This window comes from Homo sapiens, chromosome 9, assembly GCF_000001405.40.
Source record: "Homo sapiens chromosome 9, GRCh38.p14 Primary Assembly".
Lineage (NCBI taxonomy): Eukaryota > Metazoa > Chordata > Mammalia > Primates > Hominidae > Homo > Homo sapiens.
The window spans coordinates 7,177,955-7,201,415 of NC_000009.12; the positions used below are offsets into that span (position 1 = coordinate 7,177,955).

Below are 23,461 nucleotides of genomic sequence, written 5' to 3' on the forward strand. Positions count from 1 at the left end.
ATATATTGAGCATCTATTGTGTACATCCAGTCTTCTAGTCTCCTTGGTGACATTCATCTTATTTAACCTTCCCAGTAAATCAGCAAAATAAGTACCATTACCCTCTTTTATGGAATAAAACTAAAACTCACAGAGGTTGAGTAACTTTTGAATCACTCAACCTTCTCAACGCATGAAGAAAAAATCCGACCCAAACAAGAGACATTGGAGAGGTGAGTCTGAAGCTCAAAAGAAAGGTTAACGTTAGAGATATGAGAGATATGAATGTGAAGGCATTATCTTTATTGGTGGATGTAAAAGTGTACAGGAAAATTATCTCCTGGCAAAGGCAAAACTATAGGCACAGAAAACAGATCAAGTGGTTGCCAAGGACGAGATAGGGGAAGGGATGACAACAAAGAATGTAAGGGAACATTTTGGGGGTGATGGAGATGTTCTTTATCTTGATTATGATGGTGGTAACAAGACTGTATATATTTGTCAAAATTCATAGAAAACACTCAAATGAGTGAACTGTATGTAAATTACACTTCAATGAACATGACTTTTTTTTTTTCCCCATTTTCCAGGCTTATTCTTCTTTTTTCGACTTTTTTAAGTAAGTAAAAATCTAGGGGAATGGAGGGCAGGCTACTTAGAAAACATATCACATGAAAAAAGAAATGAGCAGAGATCAGAATCCTGGAGAACGGCAAAACATAGTTGGGTAGGAAAAGAGGATCCTGTGCGTGAGGGCTGAGAAACTCAGTGAGGTGGGAAACCCAGGATGCTATGGTTTCCTGGACAGCAAGGGAAGAGCATGTTTCAAGAAGAAGCAGTGGTCAAAGCAAAAAGAAAACGTTACCAACTCCAAGGAAGATTATGTAATTGGGAGAAAGGAGTGCAGAACCCCACACGCAGTCCAGCAACACAATGCTGGGAGGTGGGGAGGGAAGCCTCGTCCTGGGTCACTTGCTGCCACCAAGTGTGGAGGGGAATCCCAGACTTCCTGTTTGGTCTTTACTGACACTGTGGAAGCAGGGGCCATGCCTTGCGTTTGATAGGGGTAGGAGGAGTATTGTCAACGTTTTTGTTTTGCGAGATTGCGCCTTTCCCTGTTCTTTGACTAGACAGAATAGACTTTTCCTAGGGCTTTTTTTCTTTTTAAGTTGTGTTTGCTTGTTGGTAGTTGCCATTTACAGGATTTTCCGGTTCCAAGTCCAGGAAATATGGGAGATAAAAGGAAAACGCAGAGAACTGAACCCTGTTCACACAGATTCCTTAAATCCTGAAGTCCTTGTTAGTCTGCTTTCCTCCTTCAACACTTTGTAGTTCTCTTAAGTTTATTTGTTGTACTATGTCTAGGATTTTAAATTATACTTAGCCAGGGAGAAACAAGCCCAGAACAAGAAGTCCTCATTTTTTCTTTTTTTGTTTTCTTTGTTGTTGTTGTTTTGAGATGGAGTCTGGGTCTATCGCCCAGGCTGGAGTGCAGTGGTGTGATCAGCTCACTGCAACCTCTGCCTCCTGGGTTCAAGCGATTCTCCTGTCTCAGCCTCTCGAGTAGCTGGGACTACAGGCATGCACCACCATGCTTGACTAATTTTTGTATTTTAGTAGAGACAGGGTTTCACCATGTTGGCCAGGCTGGTCTCGAACCCCTGACCTCAACTGATCCGCCCACCTCAGCCTCCCAAAGTGCTGGTATTACAGGATTGAGCCACTGCACCCGGCCACTTTTTCTTTTTGATAGGAGAAAATATTTATTTCTGAGGGAAAGGATCTAGTTGAAGGGCAGAGATGGAGAATCTAAACAATAATTTCTGGAGAAATCCCAAAGGGAGGGAAAGGGATTAGGAGCAGAGATGGAGTTGCAGGTTTTACACAGGAAAGGGGAGATTTTATCCGAGAAGACCAATTTCCTGATTATAAGAACAGAGAAGGCAGATTATAGAATTGTTCCAGAAGGGGGTATCCAGGTGGGTTTGATGTAAAGAAAAGAGTGTGAGAGAATTGAAGATGCTGGAAAGAGAACAGTTTCTTTCAACTCATTTTTGGGTTGAATAAGAAAGGTAGTTGATGTCAAGAGGGGACTCACTGGGAGGAGAGAGAAGAATCTCTAGGGAGTGGAAGGCCGTGGGAGACTGGATCATGGCTCCTAAAGATGTCCACAGCCTCATCCCAGAACTTGTGAATGTTACCTTACATGGCAAAGAGAGACTTTGTAGATGTTACTAAGTTAAAGGCTTGAGACAAGGAGATTATCCTGGATTATCTGGGTGGGCTCAGTGTGAAGCACATTCTTCCTAAGAGGGAATCAGGCGGGTCAGTGACAAAGAAGGCCATGGGATGGAAGGGATCTGCCTTGAAGATAGAGGAAAGGGCCAGAAACAAGGAATGTGGGTGGCTTCTAGAAGCTGGAAAGGCAAGGGGACAGTTTGTCCCCAGAAGCCTCTGTCCGGAACCAGCCCTGCTGACTTGTTGACAGGAGCTCAGTGAAACTGATTTCAGACGTCTGGCCTCCAGAACTGTAAGAGAATACATGTGTGTTGTTTTAAGCCACTAAATTTATTCATTACAGCACCAATAGAAAACGAAGACAGCTGTTCAGCAGATATAGCAAGAGGGAGGCTGAGAGGTCTTTCATCAGGAGGCACGGTGTGAGGTAGGGGCATTGGTTTCAGATTTCTACATTTGAGATTCCAGTGGTGATAGGTCTCAGGGTGTGGTCATAGGACTGCAGTGGAGCTGAAAGTCATTTCACAGTTAACTTTCAACTGTTTAGGTTTTTTTTTTTTAATTGATAATCCATATACCATAAAATTGATCCTTTTAAAATGTAAAATCCAGTGGTTTTTAGTATGTTTACAAGGTCGTACAGCCACCGTTGCTAATTCCACAATTAGCTACTTAGTTTTCATTGAATAGTATTCATTCTGTCTCCGTATATTACAATATTTTATTTTTTATATTTCAGACAAGGTCTTGCTTTGTCACCCAGGCTGGAGTGCAGTGGAGTGATCTTGGCTCACTGTAACCTCTGCCTCCAAGGCTCAAGTGATCCTCCCACCTCAGCCTCCTAAGTAGGCACATGCTACCATACCCAGCTAATTTTTGTAGAAACGGCTTTGCCATTTTGCCCAGGCTGGTCATGAACTCCTGGGCTCAAGTGATCTGCCTACCTTGGCCTCCCAAAGTGTTAGGATTGCAGGTGTGAACCACTGTGCCAGGCCTATTACAGCATTTAAAAAAAAAAAATCATGCAAAGTTAAAAAAAATATTAAATGTGTTCCTATCACAGCTCCTGGAGACTAAGAGGCATTAGGTGAATATTTTCATAAGAATATATATTCTTACATATGAAGATTTATTTTGAATATATTATTTAGTATACTCACCCATTTGCAAAGGCTATATAGTTAGCCAACTGTGGACTTGCCTTCTGTTGATTGGGCCAGGTGTGTGATTTTGCCAGTGGGGGTGGTGAGTCTTTTCAATGGAAGACAGGCTACAAAGAGGGAAGGCACACACGGCCACAGAGCTGCCCTGGAAGGCTGAGCCTGGGAGACTGGGGGAGTCTGATCCTCAGCTCCAGCAGCCCCAGGAACACTGGACACAGACTTCTTGCAGCAGCTCTTTGGAGAAAGGCAAATCCCTTGGCCCCACACTCAGAAATGGGCCTTTCATACTCTACCTGTAGGAGTCCAAGGGTTTCAGTAAGATTAACACCTCTCAGTTCACTACACCTGTGTTCCTTCCAGGGTGCAAGGGTCTCCAGTGGGTGGTGTCAGATGGATCCAGTCATTCATCATATTTCAGATAGAACCCCTTTTTCTTCCCCTCCTAGGTAGGTCTTCCTTTGCTCCCAGGAAAATTTTCATAACTCGTAACTCATTTAGAAGCAAAATGACCTGATCTGAACTGATATGAAACTGTTTACATTCTTTATTCATTCATTTAGTGTGAATATTCACACACATCACCTCAAAATATTCACGTGGGGTGTTAGGTAATATATGATATTCGGTAGGCCTTTCTAGAATCCGAACAGTTCTGAATTCACACAAAACAAACCTAGCTCCAAGTGTTTTGGATAAAGGATTATGGACCTGCATTCTTATTTTATGTGCTCTATTCATGCTATGCTCCACAGGCCTGATTTTTCTCCATATTTTCTGCAACACCCTGCACATATCAGATGCTCCCTAAGCTTGGTTGAATACCAGACACTTGCCTGATTGAATGCCACTTGGCCAGACTTATGCCCTCACTGGTGTGATGGTTGATTTTAGGTGTCAACTTGACCGGATTAAGGGCTAACCAGATAGCTGGTAAAGCAGTATTTCTTGCTGTGTCTGTCAGAGTGTTCCAGAAAAGACTGGCATTTGAATCAGTGAGCTAAGAGGAATCCCTCTCATATGGTTTGGCTGTGTCCCCACCCAAATCTCATCTTGAGTTGTAGCTCCTATAATTTCCACATGTCGTGGGAGGGACCTGGTGAGAGGTAATTGAATCATGGGTATGGGTCTTTCCCATACTTTTCTCCTGACAGTGAATAAGACTCACGAGATCTGATGGTTTTATAAAGGGCAGTTCCCCTGCACACACTCTCTTGTCTGCCACCATGTAAGACATACCTTTGCTCCTTCTTTGCCTTCCACCATGATTGTGAGGCCTCAGCCATGTAGAACTGTGAGTCCATTAAACCTCTTTCATTTATAAATTACTGAGTCTTGGGTATGTATTTATTAGCAGCATGGGAACAAACTAATACACCCCCTCACTCCATGTGAATGGGCATCATCCAATTGGCTAAGGGCTCAGATAGAATGAAAAGGCAGAGGAAAGATGAATTGGCTCTCTCTGTCTTCTGGAGTTGGGACACCCAGCTTCTCCTGCTCTTGGACATCAGAACTGCAGGTTCTCTGGCCTTCAGACACCAGGACATGTACCAGTGGCTCTTCAGTTCTCAGTCCTCAAACTCAAACTTGGACTGAGCCACGCTTCTGGTTTGGTTTCCCTGGTTCTCTGGCTTGCAAGCAGCATATCATGGGACTTAGCCTCCCTACTCACACGACCAATTCGCCTAATAAATCCCCTCTCATATATCTATATATCTCTCTATCTCTAATCATCTTTATCTATATCATCTATATTTATCTATATCTATATACCTTATCAGTTCTGTTTTTATGTACAGCTGTGACTAATACACTGGGCTAGGGGCTGACAGTGAGAGACAGGACTAGCTGGATTTCCTAGGCCAACTAAGAATCCCTAAGCCTAGCTGGGAAGGTGACCGCATCCACCTTTAAATACGGGGCTTGCTACTTAGCTCACACCCGACCAATCAGGTAGTGAAGAGAGCTCACTAAAATGCTGATTAGGCAAAAACAGGAGGTAAAGAAATAGCCAATCATCTATTGCCTGAGAGCACAGCAGGAGGGACAATGATCGGGATATAAACCCAGGCATTCCGGCTGGCATCGGCTACCTTCTTTGGGTCCCCTCCCTTTGTATGAGAGCTCTGTTTTCACTCTGTTAAATCTTGCCACTGCACTCTTTTATGTTCCATGTTTGTTACAGCTCGAGCTGAGCTTTTGCTTGCCGTCTACCATTGCTGTTTGCTACCGTCGCAGACCCACCACTGACTTCCATCCCTCTGGATCAGGCAGGGTGTCCGCTGTGCTCCTGATCCAGCGAGGTGCCCATTGCTGCTCCTGATCGGGATAAAGGCTTGCCATTGTTCCTGCAAGGCTAAGTGCCTGGGTTCGTCCTAATCGAGCTGAACACTAGTCACTGGGTTCCATGGTTCTTTTCCGTGACTCATGGCTTCTAATAGAGCTATAACACTCACCGCATGGCCCAAGATTCCATTCCTTGGAATCCGTGAGGCCAAGAACCCCAGGTCAGAGAACACGAGGCTTGCCACCATCTTGGAAGTGGACCACCACCATTTTGGAAACAGCCTGCCACCATGTTGGGAGCCCTGGGAGCAAGGACCCCCTGGTAACATTAGCATTTGCCTTAACTTTGGGCGCTAGATTAACATCTCTGGGCTAGAGAGTGGCAGTACGGCTGACAGGCACAGGCACTCTGCCAGGTGAGGTTAGCTGTGAACACAGCAAGGCCCTGAGGAGGGGCATGGCAGTCTCCTGCCATCCTGATGGCTGCCCATAGAAGAGACTAGGTGTGCCAGAGGCTGACAAGTCTGTCTGCCAAGGCAGACTCACACTAGACAGACTCTTTCTTGACTCTAGAGAGCAAACAGGTTGTTTCCTGAGGTTATAAAAATATAGGGGTATGGGCCACCTAGGTAGGGAGAAGCATTTCTTGTTTGCCCTGAAACAAAGAGATTTAGACTCTAGGGGAGGGATTGTCTGAGACCTGAAAGGCTGGAAATTGAAATGTCTGCTCAGCCCATAGAATGCCCTGCATCAAGGCTGTGAGGCCACCCGCTATGGACTTTCAATGTGTGACTTTACCGTGATATGATTATGCAGCTATTCATTTCATATTTTTCCCCCAAAATCAAAGCCATAATGAGAAAAAAGTTCTCGTAATCATTTCTGTGTATTTTGGTAACAAAGGAAATGGCTGTTGATGATGATAATAAAAAAACTGCTCTTCAAAAACTGGCACCCTTTGTTGCCATTTATAAACGAAGCCTGGTATTGTGGGCTCATTAGCAGCTGAACTTTATTTTGTCAAAGGAAATGGAGTCAAGAGAGATTATGTTTCATCTTTAATATGGCTGTTCAACAACAATGCCATTATCCTGAGTTTCAGATGAATTTAATTGGACCTTAATGAGCAAAATTAGTTGTTTTATGCAATTAGAATTCCATTTAAATGGGTTAGAAAATGAATAGGATTGTGAATGTGGTTGACTTGATTTTCCTCAAGACTGACTCTCTAGGCTCTTTTTGCCCCTAGGTTTTCTTTCCCCACTGAATAATATTTTCCTAATTTAAGAAGATTTCTGACTTCCTCAGTTTTCCTACCAATCTATAGAAAATGCCTGGGACCTCTAAGAAGGTAGGAGGCAGATGGACCTGGCCATTGGGAACCAGTTACAGAGAACGAAGGTAGAAATGGCCTTCTAGGGCAGTATGTTCAGCCTCCTGCACACCTGATCTCCCTTTCCTTCCTGAAATGAGAAGGTAGATGTTGAATCGCATCTAACAAGAGATGAGGAGAGATGAGCTTCAGAGTCAGGCAGATATGGGTACAAATCTTCCCTTTACTACTTAATAAGTTGGCAACTTGGAGTGTATATCTTGACTTTTGAACCTCAGTGTCTCTATTGGTACTTTGAGAATAATACTTATTTCTGAAGAGTGGTGAACATTCAGTGAGGGAATGTATATAAAGTATTTAGTATAGTGCCCAGCTCAAAAAGTGGATGTTGCTACTGTCATTATTGCTGTTCATCATCATCACCATCATCAATCTTGCAACTTCTTGGGACCTTGCCATGCTGAAGACCAGATAGCTCATTAAGTTAGGCTGGAATTTCTGGTCAAAAATAAGCTTTCCCAAGTATTGCCCCGAACATACTAGTGAAGGAAAGGGATGAGAGGAGAAAGCCAGTTTGTTTAGGGCACTGGGAAGGTTGGCCCTCTTCTTGGGGAGAGTAGCAGGAGCTGGTAAATATTGATATGGGGGAAGGGTATGATTGTGTGAAATTCCTGCAATGGACACATGAGATCTCATCAGTTCCCTTGTCTGTGATGTGAGGGAAAGCCAATTCCTGTGGAAGTTTCCAGTTCTGATGGTCTTATGATTCTGACCATGGCCAACTCCCCTGCCTAATGGACCACATTCCAATGAGCCAGCCCTTGCCAAATACTCTTTCTGACTTGCACTGGAATTGCTGAAGCTCCCTGCTGAGTGTTCCCTACCAGCATCAAGTTGACTCACTGATCTGGAATGTGGCTTCCTGAGACACAGCAGAGGTGAGAATGAGGATCAGTGTGATTTGGCTCAGCTTTAATAACACAGCCTTCCCCATGCAGCACAGCATCAACTGAGGTGAGACAAAGGAAAATCAAAGAATTATTCATGTTCACCCACAGCACATCAATCTGAAGGTTTAAATGGGTTCTCAGGGAAAACACAAACCATTATTTTTGTTTTAACTACAAGATGCTATTGCAGTATGTCCAGTCTCCTATCAAATGCTTCCAGATTGTTTCTGAGAGTTCCCATGGGGCATCTCAGATGTGCTCATAAAACCCTCAGTTTCCACATGTGACTGCCATTTTGCTCTGTTTCTTCCCCAATGTCACTTCACAAATGTCAGCTTTCTCAGCTGTTGATGTCCTCCAGGTGGAGGGAGAGGGCCTTTCTTTTCAGCCCTGTTGATGATGCTGAAGCTACCCCATGTTACACCCAGAAACCAATGTAACAAGGCCACTGTTTAATGCATATGTTGCAGTGATGTGCTGCTGCACCGCCTGCTGGTTGAAGTGGAAAATTGCAGGTCTAGAACTTCTGCCACTGTTTCTGTTGAGTTGGTGTTAACTGAGGCTGATTCCCAAGGGCATTATCTGCAAGAAGCCCTGCACTTCTCTGAAGCAGGAGTGATTGTCATCCCACCTTTGTGCCTCTCTCCATGGTCATGCTTATCCCAAAACAGTGCAATTTCATGCTTTTAACCTTTCAAGGAGATTTTTTGTGCATGCTGGCTTTTAGGGTTTGTCTTTGTGCAGTTCTTAGTTTCATAAGGGATTAGGGCACCAGAGGACTGAATGTTGGAGGCTCTTAAGAATACGAAGAACAAAAATTACTCATATTCAGTACTGGTGGTCTTATTGTAAGAATAAGAGGATAAAAAACTCGGCTGCATACCTGGACCTTAGGGGCTCTAGGAAGAATCTGGGCCTCATGAACATGACATTGCTGGCAACAGGCAGGTCTTCATGTGACTTGCTTCTCCTACTGGGCCCTCACCCTCAGTTCACTGGCCTTTAACTTTTCTATCATCTGCAGTCACCTCCCTCACCTTCCTTTTGAACACTCTGCTGCCACATGGCCTCCCTGTCAGCTTTCACATTGGTTTTTTTTTTTTTTTTTTTTTTTTAGCTTCTGCTCCCAGTGCCACTCAACTGACTCTCTCTTTAAACATTCAAACCAAAAATTATCAGTATGAGGAGGGCACAGAGTTTTGTCTCTTTTGCTTATTGATCTATCCCTAATACATAAAAGTGTGTCTCTACCACTCAATAATTAATTGATTAATTGATACACCTTGGGGCAAGTTACTTAGGCTCTCTGCACCTTTAGTTTTCTTTACCTTAAAAAGATATAATAATAGTAGTTAACTTACAGAGCTGTTATGAGAATTAAATGAATTAATATTCATAAAGCACATGAATTAGTGTCTGGCACAGAGTACATGCAGTAGAAGCATTTATTAAATAAGATTTTTTAAATGTCTAAACATAGTTGGTGCTCAATAAATATTTTTTAAATAAGTTAATTTATTTAGGAATCAGATTGGCTTGCTTAGTTGGCCTCCCCTATTTGAGACCTCTTTTTTTTTTTTTTCCTACAAGGTTTTACTCTGTTGCCCAGGCTGGAGTGCACTGGTATGATCATGGCTCACTGCAGACTCTAGTGATCCACCTGCCTCAGCCACCCAAGTAGCTGGGATTACAGGTGCATGCCACCATGCTTGGCTAATTTTGACTTTTTATTTTTAGTAGAGATGAGGTCTTGCTATGTTGCCCAGGCTGGTGTTGAACTCTTGAGCTCAGGCTATTCTTACCTCAGCCTCCCAAAGTGCTGAGATTACAGGCATGAGCCACTGCTGGTTGTCTAAGAATTCCTGTTCCAGGCTACCTCACATTCTGCTTTAGCCTCTATTGACTACCCTTGGATTACATTCCTACTCCAGGCCATTTTCTGGGCTAGGGGCTTGGGGTCTTGTGTTAAGAGCAAGATGACTTATGTGGAAGAGACACCTTAAAAGAGGACTCTGGAAGTGGTAGCTACCCTGGGCGTGTTAGTCTTTTTTCACGCTGCTGATAAAGTCACACCCAAGACTGGACAATTTCCAAAAGAAAGAGGTTTAATGGACTTACAGTTCCACATGGCTGGGGAAGCCTCACAATCATGGTGGAAGGCAAGGAGGAGCAAGTCACGTCTTACACGGATGGCAGCAGGCAAAGAGAGAGCTTGTGCAGGGAAACTCCCCTGTATTAAACCATCAGATCTCATGAGACTTATTCACTATCATGAGAACAGCATGAGAAAGACCCACCCCCATGATTCGATTACCTCCCACCAGGTCCCTCCCACAACACATGGGAATTCAAGATGCGATTTGAGTAGGAACGCAGCTAGACCATATCACTGGGGCACACCTTAGGGTTCAAGGGTAAGGACATTAGAGAATATGCAAAATCATCCCTCTTCTCCAATGGCTGAGTTACTGTGTATAAGCTCAGGCACCAGCCCCTGCCTTACAGAAATTCTTTCCTGGAGGTTTTCTGTATCTTTTGCTAAGTTACTGTGGTGGTTGTTCCCATTGGTTCTCCGAATAGGCTCAGTCTTCTCATACTCTCATTGGTAAATAAAGCACTGAAACTCTTGTTGTACAGCCCTCTTCTCTTTCTCTCTGTCATTCTTTGAGCTTCTTCAGCTCAGGGACCTTCAGGTTCTAGAAAATTGGCTTCCTCCACTGTGTACCATGAGGCCTTCATATGTAGTTACTTGCATTTTGATGCCAAGGTGCTCCATCTCTGACCTAAAGCTATTTGGATTTTATATTTCCCAGCTAGGAGACCACCTGAGAGCCTGGGATAACATTTCTGTGGCCACCAGTCAGAGACTGAGCAGAGTGCTTTCTTACTCTTCCCTTCTGGCTCCTTAGAGAACTAAGTTCCATAAGAGGTCCTAAGTTATTAGGGAGGGAATGTTTCACTTTAGTATTTTCAGGAAGCTGAGTCCCTGAAGTCTTACAAGCTAAAATAGAGGAGCCGAGGGAGCTGGCAAGGGAGTCTCCATTGTGTGAGTGGGCAGGGCCGGGAAATGAGGGCAGAAGTGAGGTCTGATGAGGTCCTTGGGAAGGAGTGGAAGAGATGAAGCTGTTAGCTTAGACTGTGGCAGGCTGGGATGGCTGCTGTCTGAAAGGTTAAATGGTTACATTCTGGGAACTGCCATTCACTTACCCATGCCTTGAAGCCTGTGGGACCCTCCAGACCACTTCCAGGCCTTTTAGGGGGGCAGTTTTCAATCAAGCTACATTCTAATATCACCTAGAAAGCTATTTAAAAATAGATATTCTTGGCCAGGTACGGTGGCTCACACCTGTAATCCCAGCAATTTGGGAGGCTGAGGCGGGTGGGTCACCTGAGGTCAGGAGTTTGAGACCAGCCTGACCAACATGGTGAAACCCCATCTCTACTAACAATACAAAATTAGCTGGGTGGAGTGGTGCATGCCTGTAATCCCAGCTACTTGGGAGGCTGAGGCAGGAGAATTGCTTGAACGCGGGAGGCAGAGGTTGCAGTGAGCCGAGATCGTGCAATTGCAGTCCAGCCTGGGAAACAAGAGCAAAACTCCATCTCAAAAAACAAACAAACAAAAAACAGAATAGATATTCTTGGTCTGCACTTCAGACCTTATAAATCAGAATCTCTTACAGTTGGAGTCGAGAGATCTTATGATTCTTTAGTCTTCCACAGATGGTCCAAATACTGTCATGAGCCAATGTGGGCACTCTGTGGAAAATGAATCCAAAACCACTTTGATTGCCATTCTGAGTGGTTTATAAAAACATAAATATCGCCTTTGCAGAAAGCATGGACCATAGGAAAGGCACCAACCTTGGCATTCAAGACCTAGGTTTGAGCCTTGTCTCTGCCACTAAGTTGGATAAATGATTCAACCTCTTTGAGCTTCAGGTTATCTGTAAGTGGGATAGTAACACCTACCATGTCTACTTCATTGAGTCATTTCAAGGACAAATGAAAATAAACAGGAAAAAGTGCTTTGAGAACTGAAAATATTACTCAAATATGTAACATAAAACTCTAAGGAAAGTAATCCTTTTATTACAAAAACTCTAAGGAAAGTAGTCCTATTAGTGTTCTATTGAAACATCTGTAATGAATCCAATGAAACAGTTAACACGGTGTGAATGTCTCCTCTGATTCTGTCCCATGTAAACAAATGTGCATGAGTGAGACAAGTTTATTTAAACTGTATGCGTTTGTTTGATCCCACCCTCAAGAAGCAATTACTGGACTCTTAGATGAAGATGGAAGCAACGAATACATCCATTTACCTCTGTCTCCACCCTAAAGCTTAGTTAAAATTATAGTAAAATGATTATTTAAAAGGCATAAAAACAATGACAAAGAAATGCAAGAGAAGGCACAAGAAAATGTAGAAGATGAGTTTGCATATACAGGCAAAATTACTTCCAACCTTGAATTCTATATCCAGCCAAACTATCAATTTAGCTTGAGGTAGAAAGATATTTTTTGCATTTATAAAGACTTAAGTAATTTACCTCTTATGTGCCCTTTCTCAGAAAGTTACCAGTGAATGTGTATTCTGAAATAACAAACCAAAAATAGAAAGACATGATTTGCTAGTTATTCTTCAGTTCTAGTCTCTATCCTTCTCTGTGCTTCAGGAGACTAATATCTACGGACTACATTATCTGAGCTGCCTTGCTTGTGGATTTACCATTGGGTTTGGCCAATAGAGATGTGGGCAGGAGATCAGCAGGAAGAAACTAAGGTTGTAATATTTATTGCTCATGTTCATCCCTTCTGGACTTCAGTTTGGCAGAAGATGCATCCTACCTACGACCATGACTCCTACTGGGTGACCCTTTTCCCGCAGATACATCTCTTATCAGGTTCAGATAACAGTTTTCTCCTTTGGCTAGTAGGGCTTTTTACTGCTGCTGTGTAGTGGACTTAGAGATAAACCAGTCCATATTCAAACAGGTCAAAATGCTTTGGGAGAGATTTCATCTAGAAGAGGAAAGCAATAGAATATTTACTGTCCTTGAAGTTATTGAGAAGAGAGAGACACAACTGGAGGGCAGACTTGAGGTTAAATTAGTGGTCAGAACATAAAAGCAAGCAAATGAAAAAACAAACAGTGAAGATATTAAAAGATATTAAATTCAGGAAGGACAAAAAGTTGTTCTGGAAAAGAAATTGTAGTATACTACATGGCTCAGCTATAGCACTTTTGTAATCATAATAACATAAATATTGCTTGAATCAAAGTTTCTATATGACTTACTGAGAATAGGGGAGTTGAGAAGTGGTGTGATGGTGATGAGAGCTGGTGATTATGATGGTGGCAAACGGGATTTACATCCTTATGTTCCATAGTGGTAAGTCAATAAGTACTTCTTAAAATGAAAAGCCAAGAAATAGCTGAATATAAATAGAAATAATCTGTATGAAAATTATTTAAAGTAACACTAAAAGAATCAACTAAAACAGGTGAAAAATTGTTTCTACATTATAGTCATGTATATATTTGATAAAAATAAAACCAGTTTTTATTTAAAAAGGAGAAAAGGGAACTAACTTACCAATTCTTTCTTTTTACTCCCACCTCAAATATTAGGACTCCCTAAGTTCCCAAGCTGCATTCCAGAAAAATAGAACACAAGACAAAAAGGTCTAGGAATAAGGAGGTCTAGAGGATGGGAAGGTTTGTGTGTGTAACATCCTCCTGGGATGACTAAAGACCCACCAGTGACAGAGGCAGCAGGTTGAACCCACACCCCAGGTGGAATAATCAAAGGACCCAAGCAGACCAGGCTGAATTGTCCTAGAAATCTAGAAATCTAGAGGAAGGAGCATAAGAATTGAACAGTAAGCTAAGTTTCTTTAACAAGGCCTTCTTTAGCTTCTTGGCAGCTAAAAACCAAAACTGGGGCATGAACTGTTACATAATCCTCATGATCAGAGAGAATTATGGAACATTCCTCAGGGGAGAAGGAAGAGCTTTTCTAAGCAGTAAATTCTCAAAGAAATGTCTCACATGGGTGGCTTTTATAGCAGACATTCAATGGTCTAGATGACAGGGCCCTCAATGATTTTGCTACAGCAAGTATAAGGGTGGGTGGGTTTCCTGTGGTTTCCTTTGATGAAAGCCCAAGGCAGAGAGCTTTGCAGGGGTTAACGTTGAGAGCCAGTAGCCTGCATGGGGGGCATGATCAGAGAAGTGCCCAAGGATGTCTGGCTAGTATCAAAGATAGAGAATATGTTTTTAAAATCTGAGAAACATGAAGACTTGCGTGAACAGCAAAATGAAGCAGATATTGGGAACGTTTTAAAGCCACACAAAGCAGAAAAGTTGAGAGGAACATTCTATGAATATGAGAATAACCGGAATATCTCAAGGCTGCCAGGAAAGCAATTGATCTAAGGTTCAGACAGAGAGAGCTCTGTTTCCCCAGGGACTGAGAAGGGACGGAGAGCCACAGGTACCTTAGAACTAGCTGCTGAAGGCAGCATGAGGCTGCTGTCTTGGGAATGGAGCGTGGCAGCTGGGGCGTTCTGGGTCTGGTGAATAAAAAGCAGGAGTGGCTTAATTGTGCCCTGTGTCCCTTCTTAGTGTATTGTTACATCCAGGGCATTCTAAACTTGGCAGAAAGTCCTTATGCCTTTGATTTGCTTGCACTTCAAAGGGGGACTTGAGAAAATACAGAGCATTCTGGAGTCACAAACCTTAAAACTGCTGTGGGAGCTAAGAGGAGGTTAAGTTTTATTCCAGTTTGGAGGCTAGGGAGACTTCCTGGAGAAAAGGGCTTTTTTTAAAAAGAAATTTTTAATTTTAAATTAATTTTATTTATTTTTGAGACAGAGTCTTACTCTGTTGCCCAAGTTGGAGTGCAGTGGTGTGATCTCAGCTCACTGCAATCTCCGCCTCCCCGGTTCAAGTGATTCTCCTGCCTCAGCCTCTCGAGTAGCAGGGATTACAGGCATGCACCACCACACCTGGCTAATTTTTGTATTTTTAATAGAGATGAGTTTTCACCATGTTGCCTAGGCTGGGCTGGTCTTGAACTCCCGACCTCAAGTGATCCACCCACCTTGGCCTCCCAAAATGCTGGAATTATAGGTGTGAGCCACTGTGCCCAGGCAAAAATGGCTTTTTAATTTAGGCTTGAGTGATCGAGAGGATGTTGACACTCGTGACAGCATAGTCAGCATAATTAGCCCACAAGGACTCAGGGACAGGAACAATAAGAGTAGGGGTAGTGATTGGGCCTGGCCAGAATGTCAGGGGTTTGAAGGAAGTGGATAAAGATGAAGATTGAAATTAAGACCAGAACATGCTTTGGAGGGTCTTGGATGCCAGGCCAGAAGAACAGCAGGGCATCCAGTGGCTGGTGCCAGCTCTTGTTGGCAATGGTAGGGTTATGGATCCGAAAGTGGGGTGTGCTGGTGGTATATATGTGTTAGGAATGCTGCTTCTCTCTCCTGTACATTGCCTGAATATCATTTCTAATGTACAGACCAGCCAGACTGGAATCTCCTTGACAACTGCTAACATTACTTGAACTCATACTGTGAGTGAGGCATTGTGCTGGGTGCCTTACATTTCTTATTCCCCAATCAATTAAATAAGTACTATTTCATTATAATTTTATGCCAAGTGAAGCCTGATAAAAAGTGGATGTTTTGATCAAAGCTACACAGCTGGTAATGGTGGAACTTAGTTCAGTCCCAAGTCCCATGCTTCTGTTCATTACCCCTTGGTTCCTCCATGAATGAGTCCTTCTTTTATAGCCTTGCTGATCCCAGGGATCAGTGCAGAGCAGGTGCTCAAAAGATTCCTCTTGGCTTCCTGACTGCTGCCAACACATCTCTAGAGTAGGACACTAGGAAGATCAGCCTGGCTTAGGTAGAGGGGGCTACTTCCCTGGAGAGAGGCTGGGGCTATGCTGCTGGGGTAGCAGTGACCCAACCTGCTTGCTTTGCCCTTCCTAAGCTCAGGGAACCCTCCTACATGCCCTTGATGTCCTGCTCCTGGGGAGAGGGCCCAGAAGGGCAGATTGGTGGCTGCCTGCCTCCTGGTGCATCTGTGGAAAGCACCCCTATCCCTGCTCTTGGCTTTCAGACATCCAGAGCGTGGGCTAGGCCTTGCTAGTGCATTTCCTTCTCCCTCCTCCCCCTTGGCCCAGGGTCTCTAGCTTGCAGATTTGCTAGTGCACTTTAACCCTTGAGAAGAGCTACTCTTGGGCACTGTGATCTCTGCATCCCCCAAGTTAGTGCCTGCCAAAGTGTCTGGCATGGCCAAAGGTGTCTATCAGTTGAGACAATAACCATGAGATGTTCTGCTCTCAGTTCCTGGGTCAAGGTAGGGGCGAAAGGAAATGATGTGGACTCCTCGTGTTAATTCCTACTCAGTCACAGGAAGCCTGGCCACAGGACCACCCTTACCAGTAAGAGAATAGGCAATTAGGCAGGTTTCTGTCCACCTCCTATCATGGTGTCTAAAATACCTTTACTAGAAACCTGTACTTTTTGCCTTTGGAGTGTCCTATTAAAATGCAGATGCTCCTGGCAAGACTATATTATAAGTGCCTATTACCTTACTTTTCAGCTAAGAGTCAGGTAATCAGGAAAAACCTAGAGTAATGTCTTTAAGCAGATGAGATGGAGCACGGTTGGAGCTTCTAGGCAACTAACAACAGGATTGGAAGAAAGACATGTATTGGGGGATTTTGAGGCACTAGGGAGAGCTCTACATAATCATGTCAGTAAGGACAGGCTCTAGAATTTAAATAAAACAAAATAAACTCATCCAAAAAAGTTATCAAGCCAGGAATAGGTAGGAAATGCATGCATCCATCCATGCATCCATCCATCCATCCATGCATCCATCCATCTATCCATCCTTCCATCCATGCATCCATCTATCCATCCTTCCATCCATGCATCCATGCATCTATCACTGCATCTATCTATCCATCCATCCATCCATCCATCCATCCATCCATCCATCTATCCATCCATCCATCCTTCCATCCATGCATCCATGCATCTATCCCTGCATCTATCTATCCATGCATCCATCCATCCATCCATCCATGCATCCATCCATCCATCCATCCATCCATCCATCCATCTATCCATCCATCCATCCTTCCATCCATGCATCCATGCATCTATCCCTACATCTATCTATCCATGCATCCATCCATTCATCCATCCATCCATCCATCCATCCATCCATCCATCCATTTATCCACCCTTCAAACGTATAACAAGGGCCTACTTTGTGCCAGGTACTGGGCCAGGTACAGGAGGCATTACTTAGATAATTTAGACATAATCCCTTTCCTCAAGTAGCTTCTAGTCTGATGAAGTTAGGGGAGAAAATATGTGATATATGTGGAAATGACCTCCAAACAAGATAGTAAGTGTTAAGCTCATGAGATGGGGACAGATAAAGTGCTGTAGGAGTTTTGAGGTGGGCAAACCCAATAACACTGGGTGAATCTTCTGGAGGAGGTGGCATATGAGCCAGAACTTGAAGAGTGAGTAGAACAAAATTTGGAGCTAAGGAAGGGCATTGGACATAGAAAGGGCAGAAGGAAAGGAAAGGAGCAGGAGATTGCAGGATACACTGGGAATGGGACTAGGAAGTGGCCTGTGTGGCTTTGCAGAGCATAGGAAGGAGACATTGGAGATAAAGCTGGAAGGGCCTACCCTGGACTCTAAGAAGCCCTGAGGCCTTGGCTCAGGGTGAACTCTGTTCCCAGGAGGGGGTTGCCTTGCTGTGCTTGGGAAGCCTGGGAAGCCTGTGCAGTGATGGAGAGCAGGGCTTTGTGAAACACAGAGTGCAATGGAAAGTGGGGAGATAAGAGTGCTTTAGCGTTAGACAGATCTGAGTGGGATTCTCAGCTTGTTTTTTTTATTTTTTTGCCGGGAAATTTAGAGCATGCTATTTGGTTTTTTGTGCTTTCAGTTTTTCTATCTCTAAAAATGTTTCTTAAAAGAAAACATTTAATATAATTAGATCTAGAACATTCTCAAACTCCAGGGCTAGAGAATATGGCCCCATGGCACTTTACAGATTTTTTTTAGCTCTTTTGAGTTGCAAAGTAGGAAGAAGCAATGTCTATTTCAACTCTCCTGTGCCCTACCCAGCACAGAGTGGGCACATCCCTCTGGCTGGTAGAGGCTGAGGTTGGAACAAGTGGCATGATTAGCAGGGGATCAAGTGATCCTTCCCATCTGTGCTCTGCGTCTTGAATGTAGATCAGGGTTCCAACCTTAGAGGGGGGATTAAGCTTGGGCAGGGGCAGCCCCATATTGACTAGCTCAGGATGACTTCTGCAAGAAGCACACAGTCAGGGTACCAGAGTCCAAGAGGCTGGCTTTTCATTCTCTGTATCAGTGAACAACTAAAAACAACCAAAATGTCCAATAAGAGGAGACTGATTAAATAAATTATGGAAGATGCATGCTCTGAAATACTGTGAGACCATGTGGTATTGATCTAACTTTATTTGTGAAGTAATATTATAATAAGATAGCCAATTAAAAAGTAGACATTAAGGTAGTATATATAGTATATGCCCATTACACATATTTATATGTTCCCTTTTATTGTAATTAATAAGTGACCATTATTCTAGCAAAGACATATTGCTCAACTTGTATACAAGACTCTACTCATTCCTCCTCCTCTTAGGGCATGGAACCATCATAATCACATCCCCCTTCTCTTCTGGATGGTTACCACCACCTTAAAAACTTGTCATAATATGACTCATTCAAAAAACTAAAATGAAATATGAAACTTCCCTTGACTCCCATCTCCTACCAGTTACCATGTCACCTTTTCTTCCCTTCACAGCAAAACTTTTGGTAACAGTTATTTGTTTTTGCCTCTATTTCCTTCCTGCGCATTTTCTCCTAAACTCACTTCGATTGTGTTTTTCTTCCTACTATTCCATCCAAACTACTCTTGTGAAGTCATCAATGCCAAACTTGGATCAACATAGCCCATTAGATGGTCAGTTTCCACGCTTCGTACTTGATCTTCCAGCAGCCTTTGTTGTAGCTAATCATTCTCTCCTGCTTATAATCCTTCCTTTGTTTGGTTTCCGGGACATCAAACCCTCCTGCTTTTCCTCTTGCTTCTTTGGCTGTCCTTTCTTAGATGGTTTTGCCGGATTCTCCTCATTTCCCTTACTTTTTAATGTAGCTTTGCTCCAGGACTCAGTCCTCAGACCTTTTCTCTTTTTTATACTCTCTGTAGGAGGTCTCATCTGGCCCATGGTTTTAAACACCTATACAGTGCAAATTCCAAAACGCTGTCTCCAGTCTCAACACATCTCTGCTTGGCTGCTTAACAGGCATCTCACACTTAAGTTCCCCAAATGGAATTTTTGTTTTTCCCCAGGCGTGCCCCTTCTGTGCTCCAAGTCTCATAACGTCCTCCTGTCCACGCGGGTCACCCCGAGTTCCCTGTTTCTCTCACATTCTACAGTGATGCGTAGGCAATTTTGCTGATACTACCTGAGATCTGCTTTGTTAGCAACAGCCTAAAACATTTCCTCCTTCTTATCACTCCACAGCTCTCAGCTTAGTCTAAGCTACCACTTGGTATCACTCTCTGATTCTACCTGGCCTCTCCACCTCCCCACTGTGTTCTCTATACAGCAGCCAGACTCATTCTGAAGATGTTCATCTCTGCTCACAACTCACCAGTGACTTCTAAGACAAAAAATAAATTCCAAAGTTCTTACCATGTCCACGAGGCCCTATGATCTGGCCCCCACTACCTCTCTGATCCCACCCTTTTCCTCTCACTCACTGCCCTCCACCCCCACTAGCTTCTTTGCTGTTCCCCAATCACGCCCGGAACATCCTTGCCTTAGGATTTTTGCATTTGCTATTTCCCCACTTGAAAGTCTCTTCTCTCAGATTCCTCTGAGTTTGCTCTCTCACTTTCTTAACTCTCGAATATTTCCTAATCAAAGAGGGATTTTCCAATCTCCTATTCATAAAATAATATTTCTCCTTATTCTGCTTTATGTCTCATATGATTACCCATTATGTGTGGTATAGGTTGTGCACTGCCCAATTCCTGGGGATCTCATTCACTTTAACTGCAGTGTGATTGGCTCTCCCTAGAGTTCTTCAGTGCACAACTGTATAGCCAGACCTGATAACATACATTATAATACAAATTTGTTTGGTTATTTGCTTATTTATTTTTTCTTTCTTTTCTTTTCCTTTCTTTCTTTCTTTCTTTCTTTCTTTCTTTCTTTCTTTCTTTCTTTCTTTCTCTTTCTTTCTTTCTTTCTTTCTCTTTCTTTCTTTCTTTCCTTTCTTTCTTTCTTTCCTTTCTCTCTTTCTTTCTCTCTCTCTCTTTCCCTCTTTCTTTTCTTTTCTTTTCTTTCTTGACAGAGTCTCGCTCTGTTGCCCAAGCTGTAGTGCAGTGGCATGATCACAGCTCACTGCAGCCTCTGCCTCCTGGGTTCAAGTGATTCTCCCACCTCAGCCTCCCAAGTAGCTGGGATTACAGGCACCCACCAACATGACTGGCTCATTTTTGTATTTTTAGAAGAGATGGGGTTTCACCATGTTGGTCAGGCTGGTCTTGAATTTCTGACCTCAAGTGATCCTCCCACCTCGGCCTCCCAAAGTGCTGGGATTACAGGCATGAGCCACTGCACCCAGCCTGGCTTATTTGCTTATTTTCTGACTTCCCCACTAGAATGTAAGCTCTTCAAGGTCGGGACTTGGAGTACTCCAGCCTGTAGGGTAGTACCCACAACATAGTATATATTCAAAAATTATTTGACATATGAATGAATATGTGCTTGGTGTATGTGTATTTCTATGTGGATGCATAGAGGGAAAAGGTCTAAAAAGAAATACCCAAATGTTGATGGTGATTATATCTGAGCAATGGAATTACATATGATTCTTCACTGTCTTCTTTATTCTTTCCTTTAGGCATGGATATTTTAATAAAATGAATATATTATTTTCACAGAGACAAAAGTATTTTGGAGTCAGATAAACCTGAGATTGAATTCTGCCTCTACTCATTGTGTAACCTTGGGCAAACTTATTACCATCTCTGTCTCTCTTTAAAATGGAGATTCTATCTAGTTCATTGGGCTGTTGTGAGGCTTAAATAAAATATGTATGTCAAAGCTTGGCATGGCACCTGTCTGAGAGCAAGCCTTCAGTAAACAGTACTCCCTCTTCTCCTCTTATTATATTTTTATTATTTATATTTTATTATTTTATTTTTATTATCACTGACATGTAAATAAAGGCCCCTAAGCCTTGAGGATGAACCTCATATTCATCCCCCGGTGTCCTTCCCTGATGGAGAAGGGAACTGCTGGGCTGGCCCAATGCCCAGGACAGTGCAGGGTAGTGAGTTAGTAAAGGAGAAGCCATCACACCTCAAGGGAGACCCATCATTAATACAATCTAAGATCTCTGAAGACATCTGAATCCCTATATGTTTGCTTGTGGATTGTGGCAGGAAAATGGGCTGGATGGGCAGGAAGAGGAGGGAGGTATCCTGTTCTTTACTTTTCACTGGGTCTGGAAATGGAGAAAACCCAGGTAAAAGAATGACTGGGGCCACCGGGAGCAAGTGAAACTGGATCTTTTGGGTCTGCTGGAAGGAAGAAAAGCTGAAGGGAGCCTGTCAGAAGCCCAGTGTGCCCACCTGGGCCAAGTGCCCAGAGCCAGGAGAACATCCTTACCTTGGGCCAGAGACCTGGGTGGCAGTGGAACAGGACAAGGCTCCAATCTCATCATGCTATCCTTTAGCTCAAACAGCAGAGGACAGATTGGCTAGTCATAGATTTATGGTGATATTTATCTTGGTCGGAAGTCATGTTCATGTCCATCACAATGATGTACTTCATTGCTCACCTGCTGGCTTCCCAGAGAGCCCACCAAGGAATGTCTCAGCCAAATGTCTCAATTTTCAATCCTGGCAATACTTCCGGCTTGAATCCTGCTACCTTCTCACCAAGGAAGGCTCAGTAATTTTAATTTAGAGTGAAATCTGAAGGTCCTGCTTCCCCTCTCTTGTTTAAAACTAGAACAATTGTTGGGCACAGTGTCTCATGCATGTAATCCCAGTGCTTTGGGAGGCTGAGGTAGGAGGATTGCTTGAGCTCAGGAGTTCTAGGCCAGCCTAAGCAACAGATTGAGACCCCCATCTCCATAAAAAATACAAAAATTAGTTGTGTGTGATGACATGTGCCTGTATTCCTAGCTTCTTGGGAGGCTGAGGTGGGAGGATCACTTGAGCCCAGGAATTGGAGGCTGCAGTGAGCTGTGATTGCACTACTGCACTCCAGCCTGAACAACAGAGCAAGACCTGTCTCTAAAAAGTGAGTAAATAAGTAAGTAAACAAATAAATGAAACTGGAGCAAGCCTCAAGCAGGCAGCTCCCTTCCCCCATCCTCTGGCCTATCTTTATTCCTTTAGGATTTCCAGAGGCATTCCAAACAGAAACATCCCTAGCCCTCCAACATGAGAGTAGCAAAAAGAAGGAAAAAGATGGTCAGTGGCCAAAGGTCTTTCATTAGTCAAGAGTCTTCAAACCCAAAAGATTATTCTTCCCAAACTTTGAACCCCAAATGTCTCTCCTTAGGAATAATTAAAGGCAGATAAAGAAGTCTTTGTTTCTGGTTCACCTGGAGGCACTCCCAGGCACTCTGTCCCTTAGCCTTTTGAATTCTCTTCCTGAAGAAAAGGCAAGAGGATCAAGGAAATGAGTTTGCCTGTCCTTAGCCTCCAAGCCACATGTACCAGAAATGTCCATCATGGTGTCTATAATATCCATGCCTTTTCTAAAACGAATTTCCCGACCTTAGCACCAGGTTTCAACCCAGCATTAATGCTCCCGCCCCGCAACAGCTGGTTGGACCAGGAGTGGGGTCCTGGTCCAAGGGCAGTGAAAACATTGGTCCTTGAGGTGGTGTTGTATAAGAGGAACTCTGCCCCATCTGAAAAGAGCAGCGCAGTGATGTTTGTGTCCTCAGGAATTTGAAATGGAGAAGATCTGAGGCTGCAAGTATGTATCTCCTAAAACAAGAAGGCTCTTTAACCAGCTGTCGTTGGGATAAACCAAAATTGTGAGAAAATAAAAAGCATGACATGGAGAAGACATACATATTAAAGGTGTTGCAGTTACCGGCAGCTTGGAAGAAGAGCGGACACAGATAGAAGCAAATGATGTTACTGAAGATGAGTTGTCCCTCGTAGAACTTCTTCTGGATTTGATTGTTTCATAGTCATAACTTTGAGCAACTCCATAAACTGACTCACAGTACAGAAACTGAAGCTAGTTTTCCAAGCTCTTTTTCTTTTCCACAGTACATAAAATAAGTAGTGTCAGTGTCACCGCGGGGCTTCAATCTTCCAGCAGACATCACCAGCACATTCTTACTATTGACAGTCAGTCTTGGCAAGCTTGCTCGTCTCCATCCAT

At 43.4% G+C, this 23,461-nt stretch overlaps 1 annotated feature.

The window, feature by feature from the left end:
* Positions 7,644-8,159: an enhancer, noted in NCBI's record as "NANOG hESC enhancer chr9:7185598-7186113 (GRCh37/hg19 assembly coordinates)". NCBI's record gives its function as "activates a minimal SCP1, AML or CMV promoter by ChIP-STARR-seq in primed H9 embryonic stem cells {active_cell/tissue: H9 hESC(primed)}" and the evidence as "EXISTENCE:reporter gene assay evidence [ECO:0000049][PMID:30033119]".